We start from the raw sequence: 21,614 nt of genomic DNA, 5'->3' as shown, positions 1-21,614 counted from the left end.
CTAGGGGTTAGGCCACTGGAACAGCAGTGGTTGCTGCTACACATTCTTAGATAAAGCAATTCATCTCTTTTGACTTAAATGTCTTCATCTGTAAACTGTGGATGGTGATACCTATCACTGGGAGTCCTTTTGAGGATTAAATGATATCAGACATGTATCACACTTAGCCAGTGCCTTGGCACACTGTTGGTGTTTGATAAATATTAACTCTTTTTATAGCTAGGACAGTGGAGACTAGCTTGCCTGGGACGGGCTGTTTGGCTTCTAACTTAGTAAAGAAGAAACTTCTTAGAGGAGGCACTGGGGAAAGGAAGACAAGCAGAAAGAAGGAGAAGGAGCCCCATCAAGGATTTAAATGTGGTTTTCCCTCCTGCTGAGAGGGCCCCTGGACTCAATAAACTGGAATGACCCTAGCTGAACTTCCAGGCTTGAAAGTATAGTTGTCTTTTAAAAGGAGTTCTTCTTTTCCAAGATCAATTGTTCAACAGAACTGAAAAGCTTGCCTTCAGAAGAGGCTGACTCCTAAAACCTGCAGGGTAAACCATTAAAAGAAAGAATGTGCCATTACTCAATAAGGAGCAGGGAGCACCATGCATACACTGTCTGAATGCTGCAACTCTGCTGCCTCTTCTATTCGAAATTAACCAGAAATCCGAGAACCTGAAAGCTGAGTCCTAGCTAACATTATTTAAATGAACTGGCTGTTACACGAACCTTAAACCACATGTCATTTGGTTGTGGGGCTGCCATGGGCCAAGAGACATTAATACTGATGGTTCCCAGCTCACAAATGAACTGTGTTCGTGTGTTTGGAAGGCTGTGGTTTGAAAGGCAGAATGCACTTTCCCATAGAAGCAATTTTATAAATGGCAATTAGGGCTACAAGCCAGCTCACAAAAAGCCATGTAACCATAATATAGCTAAACACCATACATTTTAGCCCAACAGAGTGGAAATCAATAGTGTTACAATACTAATAATTAAAGGATGAGATAAAAAAGTACTAGTGCTTAGGCAAAAACAGATTTAATTAAAGGAAGATGAAAATGTCTATCCAGTTAGGCAGAGGGACCAAGGAAAACTGGGACTGTTAAGTCAGGAACCCCGACAGTTGGGAATCAGACCAACTTGCAGGATTTCTGTCAATTCTAAGGAACTAGTGTCTGCATGTGAAGACCAACCTAGCACCCAGAAAGGAGTTTGGGGAGGGGGTGGAATGGAGGGTTAGGACGACTGAAAAGAAGTTAGCCTAGTCATTCCTATGCAGCTATTTCATCAGCCAAGATGGGACCTGGCTTCAGCGTTCCTCCCCTCTTGGGTGATTATTCCTATTTATAACAAAGCCAACCCTGGCCCCAAGAACCACTGGAGTCCAGAAAGTTTGGTGTCTTTTTCATACTGATTTCTGAGATCAGACAAGCTCTTGGATATTCACACAGCCTGGATGGATTTTTACCTCCCTGCCCTGCCCTCATGTAGATGAACCTGCTCTTGCTATCCCCTTCACAGAGGAGAAGTTCTGCCAGTTGCATGGAGTCTCCCTCTGCCATCCTATTCCACATGTGACCAGCACTGCACCTGGCTGGAGACATTCTGAATCATTTATTCTAGCTTAATGCTAGGGATCAAATACACATTTTATCTGGGAATATGAAAAAGACATGAGATATCTGTATATGGTATATGAAATATGAAAAGATGAGAAATGAGGAAAGGAGTAAATTGAAAATGGAAGTTACTTGAAAAAGATCATTTGTAAAGCAATACAATGGCATTCTGCAAGATCTAACCATTAGGTGGCACCACTGGCCCAAGGAAGTTTGGTGGCCCCAAGAAAGTGGAGGAGAAATGGGGAAAATTGCTGAGTGGTCTAGGGTAGGAAGGCTGGAGGGAGCCACTGCGGAACAAGTAACTGAACATATACAAGCATTCCTGTGAAGTGTGTACTCTGAATTAATCCACATATTAATAAATTCAATCATTAATTCCCTTAAAATTATTTTTAAAGTCTCATAATTTTATTTATACAAATTGATTTATATCCCTTGCCCATTTCTATTGATCTACGCTTTTTAAAAATTAATCTCTAGCAGTTCTACTTATTCTGAGTACTAGTCCTTTGTCAATGAGTTATATACAAATATATTCTGGTTCATGGCTTGCCTCTTTTTTAACCGCAAGTTTCTGTTGTACAGAAATTTTTCATTTTAATACAGGCAAACTTTTTTCTTTGCCATTTGTTCTTTGTGAGTCTTGTTTAATATATCTTTTCTTATCTTGAGACCATAAAAACATTCTTTTAGATAAACTATTGCTTTCTAACCACCAGTTTTGTGCTGGTATGGTATAATTTTTTTTTCTTATGGATAAACCAGTTACTAAATAATCTATTTTTTTCTGCTGATTTGCTACTCCTCTCATGAAACTAGTTTTCCATAAATGTATGTGCCCATTCTGTTCCTTGAGTCTGTTGATTCCTGCACCAAATATGACAATCAACTGACTAGTGATTCTTGACCCCACCTTGTTTCTCAAACACATTTACCACATTAGCTAATTTCTTCCATTACATCATTACAACCACCTCAGGACTCTACATTGCGGGACATGAAGAAGGATGCACAGACTACAGATAAAATGCTGAAGAGATTAGTGTTAAGCAGCAGAATACAGTTCATCTATTCCAGGACAGAAGACAGAGTCAGCCGCCAACCATTTGATTTGGAAAACAAAATTTCAAATTAATTAACCTTGTTTCAGTGAACTACTCCAGAGAGCATTGCCTAACTGACTGGGAAATTAAATATTCATTCTGAATATCTGCAATTTGATCATAGAAGAAACCAGGTATAAGAGGAGGATAGATTAGAGCAAAGCCATCGTTACTGATGGGGAAGAAATGCACTTTTTGAGTTTTATTCTGATATGATTGCTGAGCTGAAGCCAGAAGGAAGATGATACCTTTGTGCATACATGGGTCTCCAGTGAAGTATGTGGGTCTTTTTGGTGCCAATCAATCAGGAGAGAGAGTTTCAAATCTGGGACCTGAGACTTATATAACAATAACAGGTCAGAATTTTATAGAAAGGGAACATCTATCTCCATATGGACTATTTTCATTTTATTATTTTGCTGCCTTGGGAGAATCTAGATGAATGTGAGGATATCCTGGGCTGGAGAGAAAAAATGGCTCTTGCCACATGAAGGCAGGCCACAAGATAGGTAGAGAAGTAACATGTCCAAATGAACCCACTATTTTTGTGTCCCCAAATCTGCTGCTCTTTCAATGTTCCCATTCTCAGCAATGGCAGCACTGTCTGCCCAAATGCTAGACTGCCCAAGCCACATGCCTGGGCACCATCCTTGGAGATGAGTCAAGTACAGTAGATTCTATTACCTAGATCTCCCATCCCCAAACACATCTCTCCATCTCCCCTCCACTCTGTCCCCGCACACACTCTCACCACCAAGGCCACTGTCATCCTTAGAGCTGAAACTACAGCAATAGCTTTCTGGCTGGTCTCTCTGTCTTGAGTCATAGTCATAGCCCTCTTCCCCACTCTTGAAGCCAAAAGGCAAGTCTGGTAATGTCATTTTCTTGCTTAAAACTCGGTAATGGCTTCTCATTCTCCTGAGGCTACAGTCCAAACTGTTTAATATGATTTATGTGGATCTGGCCCTTGCTGACCTTCGCAGCTACTTCCTTGAGAGATTAAGAACCCAGACCATGAAGTCAGTTTTGTCTGGGTTCAAATTCCCACTGCCCCACCTATTAGCTTCAAAACTTGAACAAACTTCTGGACCTCTCTGTGCTTCAGTGTTCTCCCGTGTAAAACACGGACGGTCACAATGCCCACCTCACAGGATTGTCAGGAAGACTGAATGAGCTAACACAGGTAGAGTGCTCAGGACGGCACCTGGCACACGGTAAGCATTCTATCAATGTTAACCATGATTTTTATTTCTCCAATTCATTATGCCTTCTCCAGCATTCCGGCCCTTGCATCCACTGTTCTCTCCATCTCAGACACTCTTTCCAACACACTCTGATCATGCTACAAGGTAGTCTTCAGATGTAGGTAACAGCCCCAGCGGCACCTGAAAACTTGTTCAAAAGACAAATGCTCAGGCTCCACCCTAGACCTACTATATTAAAAACTCTAGGGCTCAACTCCAGCAATCTGAAGATTTTTGTTTTGTTTTTTGATAGAGTCTCGCTCTGTTGTCCAGGCAGAAGTGCAGTGGTTCCATCACGGCTTACTGCAGCCTGAACCTCCCGGGCTCCGGCGATCCTCCAGCCTCAACCTCCTGAGTAGCTGGGGCTACAGGTGTACCACGCCCAGCTCACTTTTGTATATTTTATAGAGATGGGGCTTCACCATGTTGCCTAGGCTGGTCTCAAACTCCTAGGTTCAAGCAATCCGCCCGCCCTGTCCTCCCAAAGTGCTGGGATTAAAGGCATCAGCCACTGTGCTTGGCCAGCACTCTGAGTTTTAACAAACTCAGCATTCCTCCATAGGATTCTGATGCCCAGTTAAGGCTGGAAAACCAAGGCACCATCCGTGATAAATTGTACTTAGATGCTTATTTTTCTCTATCCCCTGTTAGGCTCTACGTTCCACAATGGCAGAGAAATGTCCATCTTGGTCTGTTCACCTCCTTTGTAGGTGTTGACAAATACGAGCCATCACAAACTGGAAAGGGGTAAGCTGTATTTCGTAGGACACATCATCTAATTCTGTGCTCCTCTTTTCTGTTTCCCCAAATCAACACCCAGGTATTTCTAAAGGCTTGCCTAAACGTTCCAGCTTGTTCTCAACCTTGAAGCCAGGCTTAGGCCTAAGTTGTAAAGGCGGGAGGGGAGACCCTGGAGGTAGAGGGGCAAAGGCAAGATGCTTGCGTCGCAGGGGCCCTGCATGGCCTGGAGCAGCATAGGGGCCAAGATGGTCTGCGCTCTCCCTAGATTGGAGTTTCTCTCCTTCATCATCTTTGGAGGAAGCACAGATAACTGAGGAAAGTCTGTATCTGCACAGCCACCCGAACTCCTGCCTCCTAATAAACACCTCTGAGGGAGAGGAAACTCTCTCTCTCTCTTCTCTTCCTCCCCAGCACCCCTCGCCCCCCCACCGCCATTTCTCACTCCTCTACTCCCCTCTCTCTCCCTACCCACCTCTGACCCCTCCTCCAGTCCTGCCGCCCGGTAACAAAACCGGGGTTCCCGCCACACGCACCCGGTAGGGCTCAAGACGCTTTATCGGCGACAATGGCTGGCTGAATGGGAGGCCTGAGGTTCTGAAGGAACCGGGGTGCTGGCGACCGGGACCTCGAGGCCGCTGCTGGGGAGGACGCTGGCCAGCGTGCAGGGGGCGGAGGCGGGGCGTGCCGGGAGGCTCCCATCTCCCGCCCCGCACAACCCGGGCAGGGCCGCCGCTCCGCCGCCGCCGCAGATCCGGCTCTCACCCTCGGCTCCCGAGGCCCCGCGGCGCCTCCTTCTGCGGACTCTGCGGGACCCTCCCCGGCAGGCGCTGTGCCCTGGAGAAGGCACAGTGGCTCAGGCATGGCCGCGGGGACGGCGGCGCGGAAGGCAGCGCCGGTGCTGGAGGCCCCCCCGCAGCAGGAGCAGGTACTGGCGCGGGGGCGCGGGCGTGGGGGACGCCAGGCCGGGGTCCCGGGGCTCACGCTGGTGCCGGGCAGGCTGCACAGACTGGTCTCCAAGACCCCGGGCCCCACCGGGGAGAACCGGCCCTGGAAAGACGTGGGGACGGACGCATGACCTTCTGGAAGATGCCACCGTGCGGGGTGCCAGTCCCTCCTCCACTCCCTCCCTCCCCACTTCTGTGCCCTCCCCGCTACCTTCCTTTCCTCCTTCTGATCCTCTTCCTTCGCTCCATCCCTCTTCTCGCATCCTCGCACTTTCTCTTCCAGGCTCACCCCTTCCACTCCCGCCCTCCTTTGTGACCGCCTGTGCCCTCCTCCCTCCTCGGCGGAAGCCCCCAGAGCCCAGGGTCAAGGTCGTAAGCTGCGAGAGAGGGGAAGGGGTGTACTGCAGGCTTTTGGCTAGACCGCCCTGGTTCTCAAACTCGAGTGTCATCAGAATCACTCGGAGGGCCTGTTACCACGCAGACTGCTGGTCTGTGCCCAGGGTTTCTGATTCAAGATGTGTACCCTGATCGTCAGCTTGTCTTGCCTGGTGCTCAACCTAGCCCATTTCTGCTTCTGCTGGCGTCAATTGCAAACCCAATCTTAATTTATTCTTCGTTCATAGGACAATTCTTCTTAGGCTACATCCAGGTACCAGGAGGATTTGGGGGTGGAGGAGGGTAGGTCTTACCTGGAGGAACCCAAATCCCATCCGTAAAACGAGGACAAAAATAACTCTTAAGGGCAAAGATAACTCTTAAACAACAACAAAAATCACTCACAGAGCGGGTAGGAAGAGATTAATGTCCCAAAATAGGTTCAGGCAAAGAACTGTAGGATTTCTGAGAAGGGCTTGCTCCTGACTAACCCCCTTCTCCTCCAACCCGTGAGGGCGTGGCATTCGAGCTGGGTGTTGGGGAATGGACAGGATCTGACCTCATGGGCCAGAGAATTCTAGATGGAGGGAACAACAGTACCAAATGGCTTGGAGATTTTTTTTTTTTTAATATTGGGATGGATGGCCATGGGACAAGGCAGAGAGAGGGGACTGTCCACTCTGACTGCCAGAAACCTAGGGGTCAGGAATGCTTATAGCAAAAAATAAGGGTGGGCTAGGCTGTGGAGGGGCTTGTGTACCACAAAATGGGGAAACTTAAAATGAAACTCCATGACTTTCTTGCTGGTTTCAAACCCAGATTATCGAAAGGGAGGTTCTGAATTGATGAATGCATGCCAGGAGTGTCAGAGGATCTAGTACTGGTGGATTTGCTGCTGATCTTTGCTCTTCCTTAAGGCTGGCATCACTGCCTAGTCTGCTGCCCTCAGGAGGTATGGCCTCTCTGTTGAGGCTGCCCTAGGAGGGACTCACAGCTTTTCCCTTAATCCCATATGGCAAGACAGTGTGGTCCAGGAACCAGCAGCCAAGGCATTACCTGGGAGCCTGTTAAAAATGCAGTCTCAGTTCCCACGCCAGACCCACTGAATTGAAATCCGCATTTTAACCAGATCCCAGGGTGATTCATTTGCACATCAAAGTTCAAGAAGTGCTGGTTTCTTGACTTTACTAGAGCTAGGGATAAGAAAGTGAAAACAGAGATAGTTACTGACCAGCCTATTATCTGATAGCTTCCCTTTGGTTTGAACCTCACCCTATTTTATTTTCCTTCATCACCCTTATCACTACCTGAAGTATGTCTATGTGTGTATTTGATTGTCTAAGAACCTCCTTCAGCATGAAAGCTCCAGCAGAAAAGCCATGTGGTCTGCCTTGCTCGCTCCTGTATTTCCAGGACCTAGAACAGTCTCAGCAAACGGCAGGGCCTCAATAAATATTTATTGAATGAATAAATGAACAGTAACGTACAATCTTATGATGTAAGACCCTAACTCCAGCATACCTTACTGGACAAACACCATCTCCCTATTCCCCATCCTCCACCTCCCCAGCTACAACCCCTGGGGTCTTTTGAGCCTGCAACTGGTTAGGTATGTTTGAAACTCCTAAAATTTGGAGTGTGAGAGCAGAGACCATGGGTTTAGGAGTTCCCTCTTCTGCTTGTCTAAGGCTTGCTTTCCAGGCTCGGATTTCTCCTGAGAGCTGAGAGGACCCACCACTTCCCCAAAACTGCTCTCTGCCTGGGGGCAGGCCATACACAGCCCCTCCTCTCCACCCACAGGCATGCAGCCTTGCCTTGTGACATGAATTCCTTACCAATGAATACAGCCCTCTAAACCTAACATTCCTACCTGGCACTCACATGTGGTCCAGGGTCATCACTAGTTTCTGAGTTCATTGTTCTGGCTTTGCTACTTGGTTTAGAAAGATTTTTCTAACAGGTGGGTTTTGTGAGGGAAGAGTTGAAAGTGACAAAATCAGTTTGGAGGCAGCAGTTCAGGTGAGAGATAATGAAAGCCAATCGGGGTGGCAGTCTCCAAACACATTGAGTGTGCCATGCACCAGACATGAGGATTCAGTGGGGGGATGAGGCCAGCGCTGGCCACCTACAGATTCAGGTAAGTAAATAAGTCATCAACAATGCAGTCTGGTAACAATGTTCAAGGTCAGTATATATCCTGGTAGGGGCCTCACCGAAAGGGTGTCCTGGAGTAAGTGGGATCCAAGGGTGAGCAGAAATGAGGCAACCCAGCATGGAGGCTGGGAGTGGAGGGAGAGCATTCAGGGACAGGAAAGCTCTGCTTGGCTGGAGCAGAGGGTGTGCAGGGGCAGTGGAGAGAGGGGAGGCTGAAATGGGATACAAGGCCTTGTGAGCCATGTTGGATTTCAGGCAGGAAGACAATAGGATCAGTCTACCTTTAATGGGAACACTCTTACTGTTTGAAGAGGGAAGAGAGCGAAGGCAAGGGCCTCAGAGGAGGGGGACACCCTGCATGCTGGCCTCCATCTCATCTTCCCCTAGCCACCCTATCTAAAGAGTGACAGCCCTTGCCCTCTGCTGGTAATTCTTTATCACACATTTTATTTTCTTCATATAATTTACTTCATTAGGCAGTTGTTTTGTTTGCTTGTTTATTGTGCATCATTTCCTCTAGAACACAAGGTCCTATTCATGAGAACAGACACCTTGTTTGTCTTTCTAACCCTTGAATGCCAGCTCTTAACCCAGTGGCTGGCACATGGGAGGCACCACTCCATATTTGCTGAATGAATGACAAAATGAATGGCATAGAAGCCATAGGGGTGGAGAGAAGGGGGCATGTTTGTGAGGCATTTATAGGTAGGGTCAACAGGAGAGTAGTGGGTTGGAGGTACAGGGTTGGTTAGGGGCAAGGATGATGCCCCAGGCTTTTCTGCTTTGAGCAATTGGATAGATAGGACAGGATGCTATTAACTGAGATGGGGGATGGAGGACACTGAAGTGGGAGCAGCTTGGGGGGAAACAAGTATGTTCACTTTAGGGCAGGTTAATTCACATATCTGAGAGAGAGAGTCCCAAGTGGGGCTATGTAGGAGGCATTCAGAAGCATCTGGAGCTCACACAAATTTAGCTAGCCAAAAGAAAGATATAAGAGATTGATAGAAATGTGGTGCTGGAACAGGGATAAAAAGGACATGGCTACTGATCAGACAAGGAAAGGGATAAAAAAGAGGACAGAGGCAAGCTTACTTTTGTATTGTTCTTTTCAGTGACATATGTTCATGTAGAATACACTTAATGTAAAGAAGTATAAAAAAGAAAGTAAATGCCCAGGATGTATCACCACCCATGGAGCATTCCTGTTAATGTCTTGGGAGCCACTCTTCTGGGCTTTTTTATTACAGATGTCTCTTTATGTAACTATACATTTACATAAATAGGCTCAGATTATACACAACTGCTTTGAAGCATGCTTTTTCTGTTCAGAATATGTCATGAAAATATTTCTATGTCAGTAAATATGAATCTGTGTTATCATTTTGTAGATCTTACAGATTCTTTTATGTAGATATATAAAAATATGGGTCTTTTTCATCCATCGGGCTGGGTACTTGGTGAGCATTTCATTTTTAAAACAGGTATCTTTCAGTCCTTGGAAATTTTCTTGTGTAATTTCTTTTAAACTTCCTGCCATCTGTTATCTTCTTCTCTGGTTCTAGAACTCATTTTTTTTGCGGGGGTGGGGGATGTGAGGAGATTTCCTAGCCCAATTCACTAATATTCTTATATTTTCTCTTCTGTTTTCCATGTCTTTGAGGTTTTTTTTTTAAATTCTTTCTGAGTTCTTCAATTTATCTTCGATTCTTCATTTGAGTTTTTATTTCTGTCTTCCTGTTTTTAATTTCTAAGAGCTTTTGGTTGTTTTTCTATATTCTTTAAAGCAGTGTTCTTGTCATTATGGGTGCAGAACTCTTTCCTGTCTCAAACGTCTTGTGATCTTTGACTGTTCACTTGTGTCTGAGGTGAGACAGTACAGCACTGTTAAGCTCTTGCTAGCAGGGAAAGCCTGTTGACAGGCAGGCTTCAGTGGAGGGTGACCTGGCTGGGCCTTTTTGTAGGGAGAACAAGGACTGTCCATCTATAGGTCTTTTCTCTTGGCTTAAATTGATTCATTCCCTGTGTAAGGGGCATGTCTGGCTGCCAGCCAAGTGGGCAAGCCCATGTCTAACATGCCTAGGCCAAGAGCACAAATGGAGGCCCTCGTGCCACGTGTCTAAGTATCATCAACTGATCTGCTCTTACAGCCCTGCCTGCAGGTCCACTTGTGGCCCGTGTAGCCACATTCTCCCTACCTGCAGTGCTGGCTGCAGGCTTGAGTGGTAGCAAGGATCTGCTGGGACAGGGAAGATGGAAGTTTCAATGTACCTGTACTAGTTTCCTAGGTCCTCCATAACAACAAAAAAATGTATTATCTCACAGTTCTGGAGGCCAGGAGTTCAAAATCTAGGTGTCAACAGGGTCATGCTCCCTCCAAAGACTCTAGGGGAGACTTCTTACTTGCCCCTTCCAGTCTCTGGTGACTCCAGGTGTTCCTGGCTTGTGGCTGCATCCCTCTGGTTCCTGCTTCTGTCTTCACACGGCCATCTACTCTGCCTTGCTATTCTGTGTCTGTGTCTCTGGATGTCAAATCTTCCGCTCCTTTCTCTTGCAAGGACACTAGGCATTGGATTTAGGACCTGCCCCAAATCCAGATGGTCTTATTCTGAGGTCCTCAATTACATCTGCAAATACCCTATTGCCAGATAAGATCACATTCACAGGTACTGGGGGTTAGGACTCAAACATATCTTTTGGGAGGACACAATTCAACTCACTACGGTGCCTAAACCAGGGATGTGGACTGACCCCACTGACTCCCAAGGAAGCTGTGGTAGATAGGATCTCCCACCACACATCTCACTTTTCAGACTCGGGATTTCCAAGCAGTTCCAAGCTGCTCCCAGACTACCTCACTGCAGTTAATTGAGGAGCCTGGTCAGCCAAGATCCCACTTAGATGGTTTGGGATGGCCAAATTTCAAAACTTTATCTCCAGTTTCCCAGAGCACAGGCTATTCTTTTTCTTCTCCCCAACCTGCCAGTCCCCTGGGGTGTCAGCCCTACATCATCTCTCTCCAATCAAGGTCTACTCACTCAATCAGTTACCAGACTTTCATAATTTTTTTTTTTTTTTTGAGACGGAGTCTTGCTCTGTCACCCAGGCTGGAGTGCAGTGGCGCGATCTCAGCTCACTGCAAGTTCCACCTCCCGGGTTCACACCATTCTCCTACCGCATCCTCCTGAGTAGCTGGGACTACAGGCGCCTACAACCACGCCAGGCTAATTTTTTGTATTTTTAGTAGAGACGGGATTTCACCATGTTAGCCAGGATGGTCTCTATCTCCTGACCTCGTGATACGCCCGCCTCGGCCTCCCAAAGTGCTGGGATTACAGGTGTGAGCCACCACGCCCAGCCTCAAAATATTTTCTTAAGAGACAGAAAAGACACCAGGCACAGTGGCTCACGCCTGTAATCCCAGCACTTTGAGAGGTCGAGGTGGGCGGATCACCTGAGGTCAGGAGTTGGAGACCAGCCTGGCCAACATGGCGAAACCCCGTCTCTACTAAAAATAGAAAAATTTAGCTGGGCATGGTGGCGAGTGCCTGTAGTCCCAGCTACTCAAGAGGCTAAGGCAGGAGAATCGCTTGAACCCGGGAGGCAGAGGTTGCAGTGAGCTGAGATCGCACCATTGCACTCTAGCCTGGGCGACAAAAGCAAGACTCCACCTCGGGAAAAAAAAAAAGAGAGAGAGAGAGAGAGAAAAGATAAAAACACAGTTATTTTGTGTTTCAGGGTTTGAGATGTCCAGGGTCCTCTAAAGCAAGGCAGGGCCCCTGCAGCCGGATCTAGAGGTGATGCTGCCAGGGAGGATGGTGCTAGGGCTCTCTAGACTCAGATGAGGGCTGCCAGTGTCCTCTACTCTCCCTCCACATGCCTGGTGCCTCTTGGCCTGTGCCTCCGGTTTAGCCACTAGTATTCTGCTAGTGTGGGGGCCACCAAACCTTAAACTGACTTTCAGTGAACCTTCTGTTACTAACCCCGGTTGCATCCCCCACTTCTAGACGCCCTAGGAGCCCGCAATCCACAGCCCTCCTGAGGGTCTTAGCACACACATTCTGCTCTGCACTGCCCGCATGCTGGTGGGCTTCGGTGTCTTTTGCCCTGTGGTGTCCCAGTGTCCCTTTCCGCTGGCCCATCTGCTGGTCAGTTTCAGAATTGGCTGCTCTGGACTCCTCTCTCATTCTCCTTGGACTTGGAGGTTTATGTCCTTTTGCTATTGTTCTAGTGGTGTTTGGGGAGGGAGAGGAGGTAAGTGCACTTTTTTTATTTACCGTGTTTCAATAGAAGTCCTCATTTTTACTTTTTTTTTAAACACAGTTATTACTAGTGAGTTTGAACACCTTTCCATAAATTTATTTGTCATTTGTATATCTCAATTCGTGAATTTCTCATTCATGTACTTTGCCCTTTTGGACTGTCTCTTTTTGATTAAATTATAAAAACCCTTTTTACATATGCTTATTAGTTTTTTGCCCCTCACATATGTTATGCTTTCCCCAGTTCAATTTGTCTTTCAAATATTGAGGACTATAATGTATTTTATTTTAAATGTCCTCAAAATCTGTCATTTTTTAACTTTATAATTTCTGGGCTCTACATTATACTTAAAAATGCCTTTTCCACTGCAGAATTATAAACATGTTTACCCATGTTTTCTTCTAGTACTTTTAAGGTTTTCTTTCTCACATTTAAGAGAGAACAAGGCTTTGGATGAAATAGAAAAGTATAAGTTTAGGCAATATTTGCACAATGCCAGGACCTTTCTGGGTGATGCCAGGAAAGAAGTGGGTGGCACAGGGGGTAATACTGGCAACTTCTCCATGGCTCCCTGCCCCCAGGTGATCCCACCAGGTGGGTCCCTAATATTCAAATGGAGGTCACAACATCTGGGCTCAAGTGTTGAGTTCCAGGAGTGAAGCAAGCCTCAGGTAGTCAAGGTGCATGAGTCTCCTCCTTTGTTCCACAGGTCCCTTTCTGCTAACTTCTGCTTTGGGGGCAAAAACATTGGTTGTCTATGCTCTTCTGTGCTCTCCACCAAAGTTACACGATTACGTCTTTCCAATGATTGGCCTTAAAGGTTTCAAATGACCAAATGTAGTGGGTTAGCAATAATCTAGAAAAGGTAGTCCATGGGTGGACTCTGCAGGTCATCCAAAAAGCATGGTTCTGGAGACGATGTCTGTGCTTTCCAGCTCAATTTGTAAGGGCACAAGCCCAGATTACTCCCTTCCCTGGGGTCAGTAATGATGCCTTCTTAACAAGAGAGTACAAGAATGCTCCAAATCAACGGAGCCTCTGCTCAGCTCTGTCTCTGAAACTTTGAACTTGGAAATGATATTTACTCACTGACATTGGAGATATTTACTCACTGCAATCATTTAAGATACCAGCAAAACAGATGGTTTTTAGGGATGCTCAGACTCACACTTCATATCCTAGAAGCCAGAGTAGCATGGCCTATTGGGAGACCACTCTCTGTAACTTTGACTGATTTGCCAAAACAAAACCACAGAAATGGAGCCTCATCTGATTCTCTGATCCAGGAACAGGATCAAATATTTATTAATAGTGACCTGATTACTCTTTTTTTGTTTGTGTTGTTTTAGTTCTGTAAGCAAATTATTTTACTAGGACTTTTATCCCAAATTATTCAAATACTATGTGACATTGTTATTTTTCATGGTCTGGGTTTCCCATATATTGCTTTCACAGAAAAACCAAGAAAATAAGGACATTTTTTGATAAGGGCCCTTTTTATGTTTTTCAGCTCTCTCATACAAAGCTTTCTGCAGAAGACACATGGAAGTAAGTAATTAGTATTTTTTAAGAGTTGTTTTGCTAAAAATTAGATTTTTATCTTAACAGTTGAGAAAATGAATGAAGTCATCATTTTATTTGTAAATTTTCCAGGATAGAGAAGATGGGGTAGGATACACAAATACTACAGACCAAAATGCATGGATTTCATCTGTTTTCTACAGCATGATCTGTAGAAAAAGATCATGCAGTCCCACAAAGGTGGATTAATATATCCTTCAAAATATGGCTGTGTCAAGTTACTATTTATTTTAGGCACAAGATACACTGGTTTTGTTCCTATACCATTGCCCCTGTGTTCTGGTGCATACTGTAGGGCCATTGGGCCCTGTGAGCACCACATGAAGTGAAATAAGAATGAAAAGCTCCTCCTTTTTTGTATTACAGGAGTCAATTTTGGATATATTCCTACTCAAAAAGGAAAATACTTACTACATTTGTACACCAATATATACTTTTCAAAGTACTTCAACATAGGCTAACCAATTTGAGATGCATTTTTATTATAGATTAATCTCATATAACAGATTAATAGATTAATCTCATAAAGCATATTTTATTTTATATCTATGCAAATCCTATTTTAGACTGATGATGAAGTCACTCTTTTATCTATATGCCGTAAGTTCAAAGTCTGTTAATTATATAGAATATTAAACAGCTATTTTAGATTTGGAGCTGTATAAACCACAACTAAGCACTTGTATTCTTTTCATTTTTCTTCCCATATCTTCAGGGGAACAAGTTTGTTTTTTTGCTTGTTTGTTTAAATGAGCTTCTAGAAATCATTCCTGTCTCCTGAGCTCAGCTTCCAATAGAGAGACTAAGAGCCACGTAATTTTATTCAAGTTGCTTACCTGATATGGATTTCATCTTCGTCATTTGATAAATGAGGGAGATTCATTCCATCTATGGTAACTTCCAGCACTGACATTCTGAGAATCCCTCTCAAAGAAACTGAACTTGAGCAGTATTTACTGGGCTCTGTGGGCTGATTTCTACACCTTTTCCAGCAGGGGGCACCCTTGGGATTTGGATGAGACCCTTTTCTGAGGCATTCACTGCTCTTTGGAGTAGCTGTAGAAATGCTGGCAGAGGGAGAGAACCCAACCCACATACCCATCAAGTGCCTTTAAAAGGTCACTATCTCACGGCACAGACTGTTACCCTGTGGTGTTTTCTGGGTGGTACATTAGCTAACTGCATATTGTAACTAGACGTAAGTGGAAACTTAAGAGATTTTGTGACTGATGGTGCCACACTAGGGATGAAAGATAATGATAACCAGTATTTAGAAAGTAACTGACAGCATTCATGATTTTTCCCCATGTTCACTCATCTTGACCCTGGGCCTCTTTCTCTTCTGCTAGGCTTGTGGTTCTCAATCTTGGCTGCCCCTTAAAATCACATGGGATGCCTGAAAAATTCCTGATGTCACATCCCATTCTGCAAATCTGTATTAATTTGCTAGGAATACCATAACAAAATACCACAGAATAGGTGGCTTAAAAATCAGAAATTTATTTTCTCACAGTTCTGGAGGCTGAAAGTCCAAGATTAAGGTGCTGGCAGGTTTTGGTTGGCATGTTGAAGTACAGGGGATTAGGACATCAGTGTATGAATTTTGAGAGGGTGAAATTCAGCCCCCAACACCCAGAAATGGTCATCTAATTGATCTGGATATGGGGGGTTAAGATTTTTTTAAAGCTTCCCAGTGTTTCCTAACTTACAGACAAGGTCAAGAACGACTGCTCTAGGTTTTCATCGAGGCTACCCCAGAACGTTAAAAGAGATGACAAACTATTTTGTTGATTTTCTCTACAATTGTGCAAAACTAAGCATCCAGCTAAAATGGGAACATTCAGCCATCATGGGAATGTCTGTGCATGTCTAAGATAATACTTAAGCCTATTCTTTCTCTCTATTATAGTCCTGTAACAATTTATACAACTCATTCAGAAGCTTTCCATTGCCCCCTGGATAATATTCTCTCCTCTGGCATAAGCACCATCTGCAGGGTTTCCTTTTACTTGAAATAGTAGCAAATGATTTAAAATTACCAACGTTTGACTGTTTTTGACTTTCAAAAATTGAAGTTTCATATGATGCAGCTCAATAATAATTATTCCTTATATAGACACAAATAAAATAACATGTGCTTTATAGTCTTACAACAACCTTGTCAGTTACAGAAGGATGGTTATTTGAAATTTGCAAATGAGGAAACTGAGGCTCAGAGAGGATAAATGACTTCCCCAAGGTTGTGAGGCAATGAAGTGGCAGATCAGGGACTGGACCCCAGGTCTTCCTGGGGCTCATTACTTTTTTTAGCCCCATCACTTAACTTAAAAGACAAGGCTGAGGCCAACCACATGGGAAAGCAAAGGAACTGGTTTTGCTAAGAAAGTCAGGCTCCTCCTCCCAGCTGCTCCTTCTCCAGATCTAGGGAAAGGGAAGAAACCAAGAAAAACTTAGAAAAACTTTACAATCAAAGCTTACCAACCCTTATATTTGAAATCCCCTGTTGCTTTTTGTAAGCCAAACCTGTTTTTTGTTTTTTTGTTTTTTGTTTTTTGTTTTTTTTGCTAAATGCGCAAGGTTGAGGGCTTTTTCAGATGACCTCATTTTGCTGGTTCCAGCCTGCAGCAGGAGAGGATGTACAAGATGCACCGGGGCCACGATTCCATGCACGTGGAAATGATCTTGATCTTCCTCTGCGTTCTGGTCATTGCCCAGATAGTGCTGGTTCAGTGGAGACAGAGGCATGGCCGATCCTACAATGTGAGTCATCCCCGTGGCTGCTGGGAGCCTGCTCCAGCTTGTATCAGCTTGACTGTTTTTTTCCAGGACATGTTCTCCCTTGGTTAGCACTTTGAAGGAACTGCCTTGGTTTAAGTCAGTGGTTCTCAACCAAGTGCAATTTCACTCCCAGGAGACATTTGGCAATGTCTGGAAACATTTTTGACTGTCAAGACTTGTGGGGGGTGAAAAGGGGGAGGGGAGTTGCAACTGGCACCTGGTGGATAGAGGCCAGGGATGCTGGTAAACATCCTCCAATGCAGAACAGCTCCCCACAACAAAAATTATCTGGCCTAAAATGTCAATGGTGCCAAGACTGAAAAACCCTGGTTTAAGTAAACCAGTTTTCCCTTCATGCATGAACAACTTCTGCCAACAGTCCAGGAAAAGGAGGATTAGAATAGCCAAAAGAAATGGTTTAGGGTGTCTGCTATGGTTTGAATGTATCCCCCAAAGTTCTTGTGTTGGAGATTTAATCCCCAATGCAACAGTGCTGGGAGGTGGGGCCTAATAAGAGGCGATTTGGCCATAAGGGCTCTGCCCTTGTGAATGGATTAATGCCATTAATTATTGTGGGAGTGGGTTTATTATAAAAACATGAATGTGGACCCATTTTCTCTCTCATTCTCTCTTGCCCTCTCACCTTCTGCCATGAGATGACACAGCAAGAAGGCCCTTGCAAGATGCAAATCCCTCTGTCTTGTACTTTCTAGCCTCCAGACCATGAGGCAATACATTGCTGTTTATTATTTATTACCCAGTCTGTGGTATTCTGTTATAACAGCAGAAAACAGACTAAGAAAGAAAATTGATACGAAGAAGTGGGTCTGTTACTATAACAAATGCCTGAAAATGGGGAAGCAGCTTTGGAACTGTGTAATTGGGCAGAGGCTGGAAGAGTTTGAAGGAACAGGCTAGAAATAGCTGGTCTTGCTGTAATGGAGTATTAAAGGCAAGTCTGGTGAGGGCTCAGAAGAAGAAAAGAACTATAGAGAAAGGCTGAAACTTTTTAGCGATCACTTAAGTGGTCATGGTCAGAATGTTGGTAGAAATATGAACAATAGAAGCCATTATCCTGAGGTCTTAGACAGAAAATGAGGAACAAGGTATCGGAAGCTGGAGTAACGGCCATCCTCATTATAAAGTCACAAAGAACTTGGCTTAACTGTGTCCATGCTGGAGGGCTTTATGGAAGGCAGAGTTAAGAGCAATGAACCAGGATATCTGGTGAAAGAAATTTCTAAGCAATATATTGAAGGACCTGCATGGCTTCTTTTAACTGCATATAGTAAAATGAAAGAAGAGATAAATGATTTAAAGATGGAATTTATAAGTAAAAGAGAAACAATATAAAATTTGGAAAACTCACAGCCTGGCTACGTAAAGAATAAAAAGACTTGCAGTACAGCCAAGTGACCCTTTGATAAAGGGGATTAACACAGCTAGAAGGAAGCCAGGTGCAAGTAATCAAGACAACAGGAAAATGACCCTGAAGGCATTGCAGTGACCTTCAAGGATGCCCCTCCCATCACAAGCCCAGAGCTCTAGGAGAGTAGAATGGTTTGGGGTGACTCCCCATTGTACCCTACACAGGACCAGTGAGCAGGGCCACCTCAGGACTCTGCTCCTTGAATTCCAGCATCGTTCTCCTTGGCTGCTTCAGCTGTGGCTCCAGGGAGCCCAGGTGCAGCTCAACCTGTGGCTCTGGAAGGTACAAGCTATAAACGTTGGTGGTGCTAATTCTGTAGGCACATGCTGTGAGGCCATGGCAGCCTCCACTTAGATTTCAAAGGATGTTGCAGACAACCAGAGGGCCTAAGCAAAAACTTGTCTTGGGGCAGAGCTGCCACAGAGAGTGCCTAGGAGGACAACGCCAAGCAGAAGTGTGGAGTCACAGCCATAGCAGAGAGTCCTCACTAGGCCTAGGGGAGCCCTTCGGGGTGGGGATGCCCCCAAGTCCCAGAACTACACAACTACCAGCATGCAACTCCAGCCTAGGAGAGCTATGGGCATGCAGCATGCAACTCCAGCCTCGGAGAGCTATGGGCATGCAGCATGCAACTCCAGCCTAGGAGAGCTATGGGCATGCAGCATGCAACTCCAGCCTAGGAGAGCTATGGGCATGCAGCATGCAACTCCAGCCTAGGAGAGCTATGGGCATGCAGCATGCAACTCCAGCCTAGGAGAGCTACGGACATGAGATTCTAACCTGTGAGAGTTGTGTGGGCTAAGCCTAGCAAAGCCATGGGGGGGCAAGGCTGTTCCTGAGGCCTCAAGGTTCCAAACCCTACCTCACTATGCCCAGAAAGTAGGACATGGAGTCAAAGAAGAGTATCCTCAAGTCTTAGGATTTAGTATTGTTTACCTTGTTAAGTTTTAGACTGGCTTGGGGCCTGCTACTCCTTTCTTCTTGCCTATTTCTCCCTTTTGGAATGGGAATATCTATCCTCTGCCTGACCTGTCATTGTATTTTGGAAGAAGAGAACTTGTTAATTTCACAGGCTCACAGCTAGAGGGAATTTGCCTCAGGATGAATTGTGCCTTGAGTCTCATCCATACCTGATTTAGATGAGACACTGGACTTTTACCAGAACAAGTTAAGACCTAGGGGCAATTGGGATGAAATGAATATATTTTATGTGTGAGAAAAACATGAATTTGGAGCCAGAGCAGAATGCTGTGGTTTGAGAGTGTTCCCCAAAGTTCATGTGTTGGAAACATAATACTCAATGCAACAGTGTTGGGAGGTGGGGCCTAATGAGAAGCAATTAGGTCATGAGGGCTCTGCCTTCATGAATGGACTAATGCCTTTATTGCAGGAGTAGGTTCCTTATAAAAGGATGAGTTTCTCTCTCTCATTTTCTCTGGCCCTCTTGTCTTATGCCATGAAATGATGCAGCAAGATGGCCCTCACCAGATGCCAGCCATTCAATCTTGGACTTCTGAGCCTCCAGAACTGTGAGAAATAAATTTCTTTTCATTGTAAATTACCCAAACTGTCATATTCTAGTATAGCAGCACAAAATGGACTAAGACACTGTCTAATGTTGTTTCATTAGTAGTAAACTATCTTGGCATTAATGGTTTGCATATCCATGGAAATGTGTTCATGCACACACTGCACTGACTTCAGCAACATGGAGCAAGATTTCGTTTTCACAGACCAATCTCATTCAAGCATGTTCACCACCAGAGCCAGAGAGTCATACTGTGGGCCTTGTTGGGCCTGAGACCTTGCCATCACAATGTTTAGAGTAGTATTTCTCAATGGTTAGAGCAGGGTGCATCAGAATCATCTAGAGAGCTTGTTAAATCAAGTTCCCGGGTCCTGTCCATAGAGTTTCCGATTCAATAGGGACCCAAGAATTTGCATGTCTAACAAGTTCCCTCATGGTGCTGGTAATGTTGAAGCTGCCGGTCCTGGAACCACACTTTAAAATCCTCTGGTTTAGATTCAAATATGGACTAAATGGAGAAGTGTTGCAAAGGGAAAAGGTCCTCAGTTAACACTACATGGTTCTGGGTCTTGGAATGGCCATTATAGAGCCTGAGGGACTCAACTTGCCTGCAACATATGAAGTGTTGACTTAGACCAATATATTATTTTACTATTACCTGTCATAGAATTTATTTCCTATATAGTACAGGGTCTAAAGGAATTCTTTTGAGTTCTGTATTATATTTAAGTTTAGGCAATTTTGAACATTTTCTTTAGAAAGGGGAATCTCATTTTATTGTTATAAAGCAAATGTATCCATTTTCTGCCATGTCACCGTTGTCTTATCAATTATAATAAACACTCTTTATATTGCACTTGGATAATGTCTTTAAGTGAATGAAACTAGAATCAAACCTCACTAGTTCTTCACTCATATCAAAGAAAAGTTCTTTAAACATATCTTAACTATGGTTTCCTTATCTGCAAAATGAAAGTATCTAAGATAAAATTTCTAGAGTCCTCATGTAGGAAGAAACCTGGATTCATAAGGAATCAGTTCATAGCCTTATGCATTCTTTCTTTAAAATTAATCATTATCTCTAAATTGATGTAGAAAAAAATGTTCTTTTTCCATAGTAATACAGGTGTGGATTTTGCATAGGAAGCCCCCGACCTTGAAAGGAAACAATGCTCCAGGAGCCCTTGACTCGCACTGTGTCGCACCACTCCTGCAACATTTTCATTTGATGATTTTTTTTTTTCTTTGAGATGGAGTTTTGCTCTTGTTGCCCAGGCTGAAGTGCAATGGCGCGATCTCGGCTCACTGCAACCTCCACCTCCCGGGTTCAAGTGATTCTCCAGCCTCAGCCTCCCGAGTAGCTGAGATTACAGGCGCCCACCACCACACCCGGCTAATTTTGTATTTTTTAGTAGAGATGGGGTTTCACCATGTTGGCCAGGCTGGTCTGAAACTCCTAACCTCAGGTGATCCACCCGCCTTGGCCTCCCAAAGTGCTGGGATTACAGGTATGAGCCACTGCGCCTGGCCAGATTTGATGATTTTTGAGGTGGCATATGCACAAAGACCATCCTTGTCCTATATTTGAAGCAGCTGCTCTTGTGTCAGGTCTTGGAGGGTGTGTGTCACTGCACCAGTAAGTGTAAGTGTGGCACTTACACACTGGCTCTACCTGGCCAAAGACAGACCTGCCTATGCCTCAGAATCCCCTTTAAGGACTTGTGGCCATTTGAAGGGTCTGACCTTAGATGACTCAGGCTACACTGGACTAGGTGGACACCCTGGACCCTGACCTCTGTTAGTTAGCTGGAGTCATCTGAGTTGTTTCCTGTTGCTAACTGCACAAGCTGTGCTACCTGCAGTG

At 44.8% G+C, this 21,614-nt stretch overlaps 1 protein-coding gene across 7 annotated transcripts in view, besides 1 other annotated feature; it reads left to right on the top strand.

Moving 5' to 3' along the window:
* Window positions 5,396-21,614, top strand: part of RNF175 (ring finger protein 175) — a 49,865-nt gene continuing 33,646 nt past the window's right edge. For 3 of the 7 annotated variants that reach the window (XM_005262938.4, NM_173662.4, XM_011531882.3), the window contains exons 1-3: window positions 5,396-5,623; window positions 13,945-13,982; window positions 16,634-16,775. In XM_005262938.4, coding sequence (XP_005262995.1) covers window positions 5,558-5,623; window positions 13,945-13,982; window positions 16,634-16,775 — 246 coding nt within the window. In that variant the 5' untranslated portion in view covers window positions 5,396-5,557. Of the gene's footprint in view, window positions 5,624-13,944; window positions 13,983-16,592; window positions 16,776-19,692; window positions 19,752-21,614 lie in introns of those variants that run through there. The other 4 variants (XM_017008047.2, XM_005262939.4, XM_011531879.3 and 1 more) reach the window with 3 other exon arrangements.
* Window positions 14,949-15,243: a silencer, noted in NCBI's record as "tiled region #15425; HepG2 Repressive non-DNase unmatched - State 12:CtcfO". NCBI's record gives its function as "represses a minimal TATA promoter and a strong SV40 promoter by Sharpr-MPRA in HepG2 cells {active_cell/tissue: HepG2}" and the evidence as "EXISTENCE:reporter gene assay evidence [ECO:0000049][PMID:27701403]".

The sequence above is a fragment of the Homo sapiens genome, chromosome 4 (genome assembly GCF_000001405.40).
Source record: "Homo sapiens chromosome 4, GRCh38.p14 Primary Assembly".
Lineage (NCBI taxonomy): Eukaryota > Metazoa > Chordata > Mammalia > Primates > Hominidae > Homo > Homo sapiens.
The sequence above is the reverse complement of the archived record's forward strand: the minus strand, read 5'-3'. Positions and strand labels throughout refer to the sequence as shown.